Source organism: Homo sapiens, chromosome 7 (assembly GCF_000001405.40).
Source record: "Homo sapiens chromosome 7, GRCh38.p14 Primary Assembly".
In the NCBI taxonomy this organism is placed as follows: domain Eukaryota; kingdom Metazoa; phylum Chordata; class Mammalia; order Primates; family Hominidae; genus Homo; species Homo sapiens.
The window spans coordinates 50,568,302-50,581,798 of NC_000007.14; the positions used below are offsets into that span (position 1 = coordinate 50,568,302).

A 13,497-nucleotide genomic window follows, 5' to 3' on the forward strand; every position below is an offset into this window, starting at 1 on the left:
CCACTGTGTGCCAGAGCAAAGTGGGCACTGGGGGCTTTGCTGAGGCCATGGGTGAAGAGAGAGGAGCTCTACTGCTATGCCCACACTCTGGCCAAGCCCACAGACAGGAGTGTCAGGGGAACTGAGTTTTCCTGGAAAAGCCAATTTGTTTAGGAGCTGGTGAGAATATCAATTCTGTTTTCTTTTCTTCCAGCGTAGAAGTTTTTTATTTTAATGAAGTCCAATTCATCAGTCCTTTTCCTCCATAGATTGTATTTAATGGAGGAAACTGGTGATTTATCTAAAAGGTCATCATCAAACTAAACTAGATTTTCTCTTGTGTCATCCTCTAGGAGTTTTATAGTTTTGCATGTTACCTTTAAGTCTATGAACCATTTTGAGTAAAGGTCTAGATCTAGATTCTTTTTTTTTTTTTGCATGTGGACGTCCATTTATTCCACAACCATTTGTCAAAGAGCCTATCCTTTCTTCATTGTATTGCCTTCACTCCTTTGTCAAAGACCATTTCACCATATTTGTGTGGGTCTATTTCTGAGCTCTCTATTCTGTTCCATTCATCTGTCTATTCTTTTACCAATAGCACTTTCTTAACTACTGTAGCTTTGTAGTAAGTCTTTTATTCATTTACTTATTAATTTACTTACTTATTTGAGACACAGTCTCGCTCTGTTGCCCAGGCTGGAGTGCAGTGGCGCTATCTCGGTGCACTGCAACCTCCACTTCCTAGGTTCAAGCAATTTTTGTGCCTCAGCCTCCCGAGTAGCTGAGATTACAGGCATGTACCACCACGCCTGGCTAATTTTTGTATTTTTAGTAGAGATGGGGTTTCACCATGTTGCCAGGCTGGTCTTGAACTCCTTACCTCAAATGATCCACCTACCTCGGCCTCCCGAAGTGCTGGGATTACAGGCGTGAGCCACTGCGCCTGGCTGTAGTAAGTCTTTAAGTTGGGCAGTGTCAGTCCTCCAAGTTTGTTTTTCTCTCAAAAGTCTCAAATCATTGGCCTCAGACTATTGGTGGGTCATGGAATGGGTTTTGCAGGTCTCATGACCAGCATTTTAAAAAATGCAATAGAACAGAATAAAATATAAAACAGGAGACATTGCACCTAATGATGAAAATATTGCTTTCTGAACCTTTCAATGATGTACAGGAATATGTGTACTGGGTCATAATATAGAATGCATTTCTTACTGTAGGTTGTGATCAGACTGCAAAGGCCTCTATCAAGAGATGATCTCATTCTATAAAAATAAAGTGGGTCGAGATTTGTGAAATCTGAAAGTGAGGATTAATCAATGACTACAAAAAGCTAGACAAGGCAACTCATGGACAACTAGCTATGCCTATGTTTTCTATGTAATTTTAAAAATTACATTGAAATGTTCCATAGTCATGTATAGTTTTTCTTCTGTGAATTTCCTGCTTCCGTTTCTCATATGCCTTCTAGCCAGGTAGTGAAAAAGACTCAGCTTTTCAGGGGGACAGCCTAGTGCAATTTGGAATTAGGTTTCTCTGTTTAATTGACTTGTCTTTAGTGTGCCAGACCAGTCAAAGAATCCTGCATCAAAATCGAGAGAATGAACAAGCCTTCATCACCATAGCACATTTATATAAAAAGAAAGGGAAAGATGTTGTGGGAAGTCAGGGACCCCGAACGGAGGGACCTGCTGAAGCCGTGACAGAAGAACATAAATTGGGAAGATTTCATGGACATTTATCACCTCCCCAATCACTACTCTTATAATTTCCTATGCCTATCTTCACTTTAATCTCTTAACCCTGTCATCTTTGTAAGCTGAGGATATATGTTGCCTCCGGACCCTGTGATGATTGCATTAACTGCACACACTGATCGTAAAGCATGTGTGTTTGAACAATATGAAATCTGGGCACCTTGAAAAAAGAACAGGATAACAGCAATGTTCGGGAACAAGGGAGATAACCATTAGGTCTGACTGCCTGGGAGCCAGGCAGGACGGAGCCATATTTCTCTTATTACCGAAAATGGGTAAGAGAAATATCACTGAATTCTTTCCCTGGTAAGGAATATTGATAATTAACAGCCCTGGGAAAAGAATGCATTCCCAGGGGGGCCTCTAAAATGGCTGCTCTGGGGGGGTTGTCTGCTTTATGCAGTTGCAGATAAGGGATGAAACATGCCCTGGCCTCCTGCAGTGCCCCTAGGCTTGCTAGGATTAGGAAATTCCAGCCTGGCGAATTCTAGTCAGACCAGTTCTCTGCTCTTGAACCCTGTTAAGATGTTTATCAATGACAATGCATGCACAGTGGGACATGGAACTTCACTAGTAATTCTAGTTTCTCCCTGACCTTGTGATCTCGCCTTGACCTTCTGCCTTGTGATCTTTTATTGCCCTATGAAGCATGTGATTTTTGTGACCCACACCCTATTCGTACACTCCCTCTCCTTTGAAAATTGCTAATAAAAACTTGCTGGTTTTACGGCTCAGGGGGCATCATGGAACCTGCCGACATGTGATGTCGCTTCCGGACACCCAGCTTTAAAATGTCTCTCTTTTTTTTTTATTATACTTTAAGTTTTAGGGTACCCATGCACAACGTGCAGGTTAGTTACATATGTATACATGTGCCATGTTGGTTTGCTGCACCCAGTAACTCGTCATTTAACATTAGGTGTATCTCCAAATGCTATCCCTCCCCACTCTCCCCACCCCACAACAGGCCCCGGTGTGTGATGTTCACCTTCCTGTGTCCATGTGTTCTCATTTTTCAATTCCCACCTGTGAGTGAGAACATGCGGTGTTTGGTTTTTTGTCCTTGAGATAGTTTGCTGAGAATGATGGTTTCCAGCTTCATCCATGTCCCTACAAAGGACATTAACTCATCATTTTTTATGGCTGCATAATATTCCATGGTGTATATGAGCCACATTTTCTTAATCCAGTCTATCATTGTTGGACATTTGGGTTGGTTCCAAGTCTTTGCTATTGTGAATAGTGATGCAATAAACATACATGTGCATGTGTCTTTATAGCAGCATGATTTATAATCCTTTGGGTATATACCCAGTAATGGGATTGCTGGGTCAAACGGTATTTCTAGTTCTAGATCCCTGATGAATCGCCACACTGACTTCCACAATGGTTGAACTAGTTTACAGTCCCACCAACAGTGTAAAAGTTTTCCTATTTCTCCATATTCTCTCCAGCACCTGTTGTTTCCTGGCTTTTTAATGATCGCCATTCTAACTGGTGTGAGATGGTATCTCACTGTGGTTTTGATTTGCATTTCTCTGATGGCCAGTGATGATGAGCATTTTTTCATGTGTTTTTTGGCTGCATAAATGTCTTCTTTTGAGAAGTGTCTGTTCATATCCTTCGCCTTCTTGTTGATGGGGTTGTTTGTTTTTTTCTTGTAAATTTATTTGGGTTCATTGTAGATTCTGGATATTAGCCCTTTGTCAGATGTGTAGATTGCAAAAATTTTCTCCCATTCTGTAGGTTGCCTGTTCACTCTGATAGTAGTTTCTTTCACTGTGCAGAAGCTCTTTAATTTAATTAGATCCCATTTGTCAATTTTGGCTTTTGTTGCCATTGCTTTTGGTGTTTTAGACATGAAGTCCTTGCCCATGCCTATGTTCTGAATGGTATTGCCTAGGTTTTCTTCTAGGGTTTTTATGGTTTTAGGTCTAATGTTTAAGTCTGTAATCCATCTTGAATTAATTTTTGTATAAGTGTAAGGAAGGGATCCAGTTTCAGCTTTCTACATATGGCTAGCCAGTTTTCCCAGCACCATTTATTAAATAGGGAATCCTTTCCCCATTTCTTGTTTTTGTCAGGTTTGTCAAAGATCAGATGGTTGTAGATATGTGGCATTATTTCTGAGGGCTCTGATCTGTTTCATTGGTCTATATCTCTGTTTTGGTATCAGTACCATGCTGTTTTGGTTACTGTAGCCTTGTAGTATAGTTTGAAGTCAGGTAGCATGATGCCTCCAGCTTTGTTCTTTTGGCTTAGGATTGACTTGGCAATGCGGGCTCTTTTTTGGTTCCATATGAACTTTAAAGTAGTTTTTTCCAATTCTGTGAAGAAAGTCATTGGTAGCTTGATGGGGTTGGCACTGAATCTATAAATTACCTTGGGCAGTATGGCCATTTTCACGATATTGATTCTTCCTACCCATGAGCATGGAATGTTCTTCCATTTCTTTGTATCCTCTTTTATTTCATTGAGCAGTGGTTTGTAGTTCTCCTTGAAGAGGTCCTTCACATCCCTTATAAGTTGGATTCCTAGGTATTTTATTGTCTTTGAAGCAATTGTGAATGGGAGTTCACTCATGATTTGGCTCTCTGTCTGCTATTGGTGTATAAGAATGCTTGTGATTTTTGCACATTGATTTTGTATCCTGAGATTTTGCTGAAATTGCCTATCAGCTTAAGAAGATTTTGGGCTGAGACGATGGGGTTTTCTAGATATACAATCATGTCATCTGCAAACAGGGACAATTTGACTTCCTCTTTTCCTAATTGAATACCCTTTATTTCCTTCTCCTGCCTGATTGCCCTGGCCAGAACTTCCAACATTATGTTGAATAGGAGTGGTGAGAGAGGGCATCCCTGTCTTGTGCCAGTTTTCAAAGGGAATGCTTCCAGTTTTTGCCCATTCAGTATGATATTGGCTGTGGGTTTGTCATAGATAGCTCTTATTGTTTTGAGATACATCCCATCAATACCTAATTTATTGAGAGTTTTTAGCATAAAGCGTTGTTGAATTTTGTCAAAGGCCTTTTCTGCATCTATTGAGATAATCATATGGTTTTTGTCATTGGTTCTGTTTATATGCTGGATTATGCTTATTGATTTCCATATGTTGAACCAGCCTTGCATCCCAGGGATGAAGCCCACTTGATCATGGTGGATAAGCTTTTTGATGTGCTGCTGGATTCAGTTTGCCAGTATTTTATTGAGGATTTTTGCATCTATGTTCATCAGGGATATTGGTCTGAAATTCTCTTTTTTTGTTGTGTCTCTGCCAGGCTTTGGTATCAGGATGATGCTGGCCTCATAAAATGAGTTAGGGAGGATTCCCTCTTTTTCTATTGATGGGAATAGTTTCAGAAGGAATGGTACCAGCTCCTCCTTTTACCTCTGGTAGAATTTGGCTGTGAATCCATCTGGTCCTGGACTTTTTTTGGTTGGTAAGCTATTAATTATTGCCTCAATATCAGAGCCTGTTATTGGTCTACTCAGAGATTCAACTTCTTCCTGATTTAGTCTTGGGAGGGTGTATGTGCCGAGGAATTTATCCATTTCTTCTAGATTTTCTAGTTTATTTGCATAGAGGTGTTTATAGTATTCTCTGATGGTAGTTTGTATTTCTGTGGGATCGGTGGTGATACCCCTTTATCATTTTTTATTGCATCTATTTGATTCTTCTCTCTTTTCTCCTTTATTAGTCTTGCTAGCAGTCTATCAAGTTTGTTGATCTTTTCAAAAAACCAGCTCCTGGATTCACTGATTTTTTGAAGGGTTTTTTGTGTCTCTATTTCCTTCAGTTCTGCTCTGATCTTAGTTATTTCTTGCCTTCTGCTAGCTTTTGAATGTGTTTGCTCTTGCTTCTCTAGTTCTTTTAATTGTGATGTTAGGGTGTCAATTTTAAATCTTTCCTGCTTTCTCTTGTGGGCATTTAGTGCTATTAATTTCCCTCTACACACTGCTTTGAATGTGTTCCAGAGATTCTGGTATGCTGTGTCTTTGTTCTCGTTGCTTTCAAAGAACATCTTTATTTCTGCCTTCATTTCGTTATGTACCCAGTAGTCATTCAGGAGCAGGTTGTTCAGTTTCCATGTAATTGAGCAGTTTTGAGTGAGTTTCTTAATCCTGAGTTCTAGTTTGATTGCACTGTGGTCCGAGAGACAGTTTGTTATAATTTCTGTTCTTTTACGTTTGCTGAGGAGTGCTTTACTTCCAACTATGTGGTCAATTTTGGAATAAGTGCACTGTGGTGCTGAGAAGAATGTATATTCTGTTGATTTGGGATGAAGAGTTCTGTAGATGTCTATTAGTTCCACTTGGTGCAGAGCTGAGTTCAATTCCTGGATATCCTTGTTAACTTTCTGTCTCGTTGATCTGTCTAATGTTGACAGTGGGGTGTTAAATTCTCCCATTATTATTGTGTGGGAGTCTAAGTCTCTTTGTAGGTCTCTAAGGACTTGCTTTATGAATCTGGGTGCTCCTGTATTGGGTGCATATATGTTTAGGATACTTAGCTCTTCTTGTTGAATTGATCCCTTTACCATTATGTAATGGCCTTCTTTGTCTCTTTTGATCTTTGTTGGTTTAAAGTCTGTTTTATCTGAGACTAGGATTGCAACCCCTGCCTTTTTTTGTTTTCCATTTGCTTGTTAGATCTTCCTCCATCCCTTTATTTTGAGCCTATGTGTGTCTCTGGACGTGAGATGGGTTTCCTGAATATAGCACACTGATGGGTCTTGACTCTTTATCCAATTTGCCAGTCTGTGTCTTTTAATTGGAGCATTTAGCCCATTTACATTTAAGGTTAATATTATTATGTGTGAATTTGATCCTGTCACTATGATATTAGCTGGTTATTTTGCTCATTAGCTGATGCAGTTTCTTCCTAGCCTCGATGGTCTTTACAATTTGGCATGTTTTTGCAGTGGCTGGTATTGGTTATTCCTTTCCATGTTTAGTGCTTCCTTCAGCAGCTCTTGTAGGGCAGGCCTGGTGGTGACAAAATCTCTCAGTATTTGCTTGTCTGTAAAGGATTTTATTTCCCCTTCACTTACAAAGTGCAGTTTGGCTGGATATGAAATTCTGGGTTGAAAATTCTTTTCTTTAAGGATGTTGAATATTGGCCCCCACTTTCTTCTGGCTTGTAGAGTTCCTGCCGAGAGATCAGCTGTTAGTCTGATGGGCTTCCCTTTGTGGGTAACCCGACTTTTCTCTCTGGCTGCCCTTAACATTTTTTCCTTCGTTTCAACTTTGGTGAATCTGACAATTATGTGTCTTGGAGTTGCTCTTCTCGAGGAGTATCTTTGTGGTTTTCCCTGTATTTCCTGAATTTGAATGTTGGCCTGCCTTGCTAGAGTGGGGAAGTTCTCCTGGATAATATCCTGCAGAGTGTTTTCCAACTTGGTTCCATTCTCCCTGTCACTTTCAGGTACACCAATCAGACGTAGATTTGGTCTTTTCACATAGTCCCATATTTCTTGGAGGCTTTGTTTGTTTCTTTTTATTCTTTTAACTCTAAACTTCCCTTCTCATTTCATTTCATTCATTTGATCTTCCATCACTGATACCCTTTCTTCCGGTTGATCAAATTGGCTACTTAGGCTTGTGCATTCATCATGTAGTTCTCGTGCCATGGTTTTCAGCTCCATCAGGTCCTTTAAGGACTTCTCTGCATTGGTTATTCTAGTTAGCCATTTGTCTAATTTTTCTTCAAGGTTTTTAACTTCTTTTCCATGGGTTCGAACTTCCTCCTTTAGCTTGGAGTAGTTTGATCGTCTGAAGCCTTCTTCTCTCAACTCGTCAAAGTCATTCTCCGTCCAGCTTTGTTCCATTGCTGGTGAGGAGCTGCGTTCCTTTGGAGGAGGAGAGGCACTCTGATTTTTAGAGTTTCCAGTTTTTCTGCTCTGTTTTTTCCCCATCTTTGTGGTTTTATCTACCTTTGGTCTTTGATGATGGTGACATACAGATGGGGTTTTGGTGTGGATGTCCTTTCTGTTTGTTAGTTTTCCTTCTAACAGTCAGGACCCTCAGCTGCAGGTCTGTTGGAGTTTGCTGGAGGTCCACTCCAGACCCTGTTTGCCTGGGTATCAGCAGTGGAGGCTGCAGAACAGCGGATATTGGTGAACAGCAAATGTTGCTGCCTGATCATTCCTCTGGAAGTTTTGTCTCAGAGGAGTACCTGGCCGTGTGAGGTGTCAGTCTGCCCCTACTGGGGGGTGCCTCCCAGTTAGGCTTCTCGGGGGTCAGGGACCCACTTGAGAAGGCAGTCTGTCTGTTCTCAGATCTCCAGCTGCGTGCTGGGAGAACCACTACTCTCTTCAAAGCTGTCAGACAGGGACATTTAAGTCTGCAGAGGATTCTGCTGCCTTTTGTTTGGCAATGCCCTGCCCCCAGAGGTGGAGTCTACAGAGGCAGGCAGGCCTCCTTGAGCTGTGGTGGGCTCCACCCAGTTCAAGCTTCCTGGCTGCTTTGTTTACCTACTCTAGCCTCAGCAACGGTGGGCGCCCCTCCCCCATCCTCACTACCGCCTTGCAGTTTGATCTCAGACTGCTGTGCTAGCAGTGAGCAAGGCTCTGTGGGCGTAGGACCCTCCGAGCCAGGTGCGGGATATAATCTCCTGGTGTGCCATTTGCTAAGACTGTTGGAAAAGTGCAGTATTAGGGTGGGAGTGACCTGATTTTCCAGGTGCTGTCTGTCACCCCTTTCTTTCACTAGGAAAGGGAATTCCCTGATCCCTTGTGCTTTCTGGGTGAGGCAATGCCTCGCCCTGCTTCAGCTCACACTCAGTGCACTGCACCCACTGTCCTGCACCCACTTTCTGACACTCCCCAGTGAGATGAACCTGGTACCTCAGTTGGAAATGCAGAAATCACCCGTCTTCTGCGTCGCTCATGCTGGGAGCTGTAGACTGGAGCTGTTCCTATTCAGCCATCTTGGCTCCATCCCTCTCTTTTGTACTCTTTCCCTTTATTTCTCAGAGTGGCCGACACTTAGGGAAAATAGAAAAGAACCTACGTTGAAATATTTGGGACTGGTTCCCCTGATATCTGGCACCCACGTGGGTTTTTTTTTTTCCTAAGTGCATATGGGAACACAATTCCCTTTGGTAGGTGCAGAGAAATGTCATCGGTTCAGTCCACAGAAATGCATGTTTGACTCCCTAACAACTGGTGAGTAGTCTGTGTATGGTCCGGGTTAACTATGGGTCACATGGAGTCTAAAAATTATACTTATCTCTTTTATATTAAACTCCGATTAAAACAAATGAAAAGAGTTTGAGTGCCCATGGAAAATATGGTCACTCTATTCAGGGCAGTGGAAGAATACAGTCCTTGGTTTCCTGAAAAAGGAACCTTAGATGTAGAACTATGGGATCATGTTGGTTCAACATTCCAGGAAATGGTCTCGGCAGGGAATTATGTTCCCGTCCCTGTTTTTGGTGATTGGGCCTTGGTACGTGCCATATTAATGACATACCAATCCCGTGACCCCCTACAGTTACCACAATTTTCTGAATCTGTTGACCCTCCACCTCTTCCTCAACCCTCCTCTCCTGCACGGCCTTCGTTATCTGATCAGCCTCTTCCTTCGTCTACTCCTCCCCCACCTGACGATGTTGAGAATTCAATGTCTAACCCCGGTGAGTTTGGATTGCAGTCAGCGCCTGATGATCTTATTTCTTTTCACAAAGAGCTGGTACTCATAGCTCCTGCGGCCCGGACCCACATATCCTGGGACCATAGATATGCTAATTCTTCCCTCTTCAAACCTTTGCAGCATTTGCCTCCGGGCATCACCTAATGGCTCCAGGAAAAAACTAAATTTACCTGTAATTCTGCAGGCCCTCCCCCATCCACTACAGTCCCTCACCCTCCTGTCATTTCGGTTCCTCAAGTGGTCACTTTGCCATCCACTCAACCTGCTTCCCTGTACCTTTCTTCTTGTACTCAGCATGGTCCTACTTCTCCTTATGTTAAAATCGTATTACAAACTTTTCGTACGGAGGTCACTTTGCTTCCTTTAGACTGGGACCTTTTGGCAAAAGCTGTTCTAACCCCATCTCAGCATTTACAATTCTGTACCTGGTGGTCAGCAGAGGCCCATCTGCAGGCTCAGCTAAATTGGACTAATGGCATTCTAATTACTCAGGCTCAGCTCAAAGGCTCTGATAGTTTCTCTGATACTTATGCCACTGGTCTCACTAACTCTTATTCACCTGACAAGATTAAACTCATCATGACTGCCAAGGTTCCTGTTTCCATTCTGGCTGGTGAGTCAATTGCTCAATTGCTTTTACTACCTAATATCATTTTAAACAAAAGAGATAAGACACCTGGCCCTGGGACGGGCTCCGGCGGTCAAAAGGCCGCTTATTGGATTAATATAATTTCTAAACAATGGCCCACCTGTACCATACACATTCAAGGAAAAAAGTTTGAGGGCCTAGTAGATACTGGGGCTGATGTTTCTATTATTTCCTCTAGTTTATGGCCTTCCTCCTGGCTTAAACATCCCACTAACATGGGACTAGTAGGTGTTGGAAAAGCCGAAGAAGTTTATGAGAGCACATTTATCTTGCTTTGCACTGGCCCTGATGGTCAAAAGGGTACAATTCAGCCTTATATCATGCCAATCCCCATTAATCTTTGGGGAAGAGAGTTACTGGCACAATGGGGGGCTGAAATTAATATTCCACATAACTCTTACAGTGCTGCCAGTCAGCACATGATGGAAAACATGGGGTTTGTTCCTGGACTTGGTATCGGTCCAAAACATGAAGGGATTACTAAATGTCAGGCCTCTGAGCCCAAGCCAAGCCATCGCATCCCCTGTGACTTGCACGTATACATCCAGATGGCCTGAAGTAACTGACAATCCACAAAAGCAGTAAAAATAGCCTTAACTGATGACATTCCACCACTGTGATTTGTTTCTGCCCCATCCTAACTGATCAATGTACTTTGTAATCTCCCCCACCCTTAAGAAGGTACTTTGTAATCTCCCCCACCCTTAAGAAGGTTCCTTGTAATTCTCCCCGCCCTTGAGAATGTACTTTGTGAGATCCACCCCTGCCCACAAAACATTGCTCTTAACTTCACCGCCTATACCAAAACCTATAAGAACTAATGATAATCCACCACCCTTTGCTGACTCTCTTTTCAGACTCAGCCCGCCTGCACCCAGGTGAAGTAAACAGCCATGTTGCTCACACAAAGCCTGTTTGGTGGTCTCTTCACATGGACGCGCATGAAACTAAACCCCTCCCAATTATTGTAAAAGAAGACAGAGCTGGTTTAGGTTATCCTTTTTAGTGGCAGCTGCTGCCATGCCTCCTGATCCTATTCCTTTGCAGTGGAAATCTGACAACCTGTTTGGATAGAGCAGTGGCTGCTTTCTAAAGAAAAACTGGAGGCTTTAACTCACTTGGTTTCTGAACAGTTACAACTTGGAAATGTGGAACTTTCTCTTTCCCCCTGGAATTCTCCTGTGTTTCTAGTAAAAAAGAAATCAGTTAAGTGGCAGATGGTAACCGATTTAAGAGCCATTAATGCTGTAATTAAACCTACGGGGGCCATCCAACCTGGCATGGCTGCCCCTGCTTTAATAACTAAAAATTGGCCTCTCATAGTTATTGATCTTAAAGTTTGTTTTTTAAATATTGCTTTACTTAAATCGGATTGTGAAAAATTTGCTTTTACTCTACCATCTATCAATAATCAGGAGCCTGCAGCTCATTATCAATGGAAAGTACTTCCTCAGGGAATGCTAAATAGCCCTACAATCTGCCAGCTTTATGTTGGGCAAGTACTTTCACCAGTTCGAGCCCAATTTCCCCAGGCCTGTATTCTTCATTATATTGATGATATTTTAATTGCTGCCCCCACTGATAAATAATTAATTGACTGTTATCAAATTATGAGCCACTGTGTTACAGAGGCTGGATTACACATCACTCAGGATAAAATTCAACAGGCCACTCCTGTTCAATATTTAGAAATGATGGTCGATAAACAACGTTTTCAACCAGAAAAAATTCAAATTAGGAGAGATTCTTTGAAAAGTTTAAATGACTTCCAACAACTTTTGGGTAACATTAATTATTTAAGACCTACTTTAGGCATTCCGAACTATGCGCTGTCTAACTTGTTTTCTACGCTGTGGGGAGATTCCAATCTCTGCAGTCCCAGGACATTGACCCCTAAGGCTTCACTAGAACTGGAATTTGTAGAGGAAAGAATCCAGACCGCCCAGTTATCTAGAGTACAGCAATCTCAGCCTTTTCAGCTTCTAGTTTTTGCTTCATTGCTTTCCCCTACTGGGCTAATAGTTAAACATAATGACTTAGTAGAGTGGTGTTTTCTTCCTCATTCTGTCGAAAACTTTGTCTGTTTATCTGGACCAAATAGCCATCTTAATTGGACAGGCTTGGTGTAGAATACTTAAAATTTACGGATTTGATCTGAATTTAATTGTAGTTCCTTTAAGTCGGCTTGAAGTTCAAGCCACCTTTCAGCATTCCATACTGTGGCAAATTCACTTGGCTGATTTGATTGGCGTTATTGACAATCATTATCCAAAGAACAAATTGTTTGATTTTATAAAAATGACGTCTTGGGTGGTCCCTTGATTAACCAAAGATCAGCCTATTCCTGAGGCCGTTAGAGTGTTCACTGATGGCTCCTGTAATGTAAATGCTGGTTATGTAGGTCCTACAGACAAGCTTCCCCAAACCTTTAAATATTGTCTGATTCTACTTAATGTGGGGAAGAGGATATGCTTGTGTTTCACCAGGAGATCCTCAAATGAAAACCACAGGGAAAAGATGTCCGCTTCACAAACCACTCCCAGATGTGGTGAGATCTGTGCCAACTCCTCAGAAGCTGGCATGCCAAATCAAAATGGGTCTGATTCAATCCTCCCTGATGGCAATGGAGACCCATCTAACTAATCCCACTTCTCCTGATTACCTTTCTTTTTCTCCTTACAAACCTAAAAATCTCACCATTTCTATTAGCCTCAAAATAACATCCCTCTGTTCTTCTCTTCCTTCTTCAGCACTGAATCTCTCTTATACTAGGTTTTATTTAATGAACTCTCCTCCTTATACTTTCTATCTCACCAGTTTCCTCTCACACTGATTTACCTGCTACACAAAATTATTCTTATTGGGCTTATGTACCTTTTCCTCCACTTATTCGACCTCTTACCTGGATGGAAGCTCCTGCAGAAATCTACACTAACGATAGTGTGTGGATGCCTGGAGCTACAGATGACCGTTGCCCCACTCAACCAGGAGAAGAAGGCACTGCATTTAATGTTACCATGGGTTATAGATGTCCCCCTCTGTGCCTCGGACATGCACCTGGTTGTATCCATATAGAAACCCAAGTCTGGGCTGCTTATCTTCTGGAGAGATTAGCTACAGAAAAACCAGGACATTTGGTCTCCAGCCTCTCCCTTTCTCCTTTAAAACAAATGAAAGAGGGAGTAATGGGAGATACTCCATACTTTCAATATAAAACCTGCAGGAAAGCCATGCCCTAAAAGTTTTGAGGGCCCATCTAAAACTTTAATTTGGGAAGACTGTCTTAACTCACATGCAGTAATATTAAAAAATAACTCATATGGTTTAGTAATAGACTGGGCAACAAAGAGCTATTTAAAACACAATTGCTCCTCTGGCAGAAGGGAATGCCTGGAGGCTATTTATTTTATTTCTTATCAGGAGAATGAGAATCATCATTCTACTTTGCATAGGAGGT

General features: G+C 41.9%; 1 annotated feature.

Moving 5' to 3' along the window:
- Positions 1,967-2,492: an enhancer, noted in NCBI's record as "OCT4-NANOG hESC enhancer chr7:50637965-50638490 (GRCh37/hg19 assembly coordinates)". NCBI's record gives its function as "activates a minimal SCP1, AML or CMV promoter by ChIP-STARR-seq in primed H9 embryonic stem cells {active_cell/tissue: H9 hESC(primed)}" and the evidence as "EXISTENCE:reporter gene assay evidence [ECO:0000049][PMID:30033119]".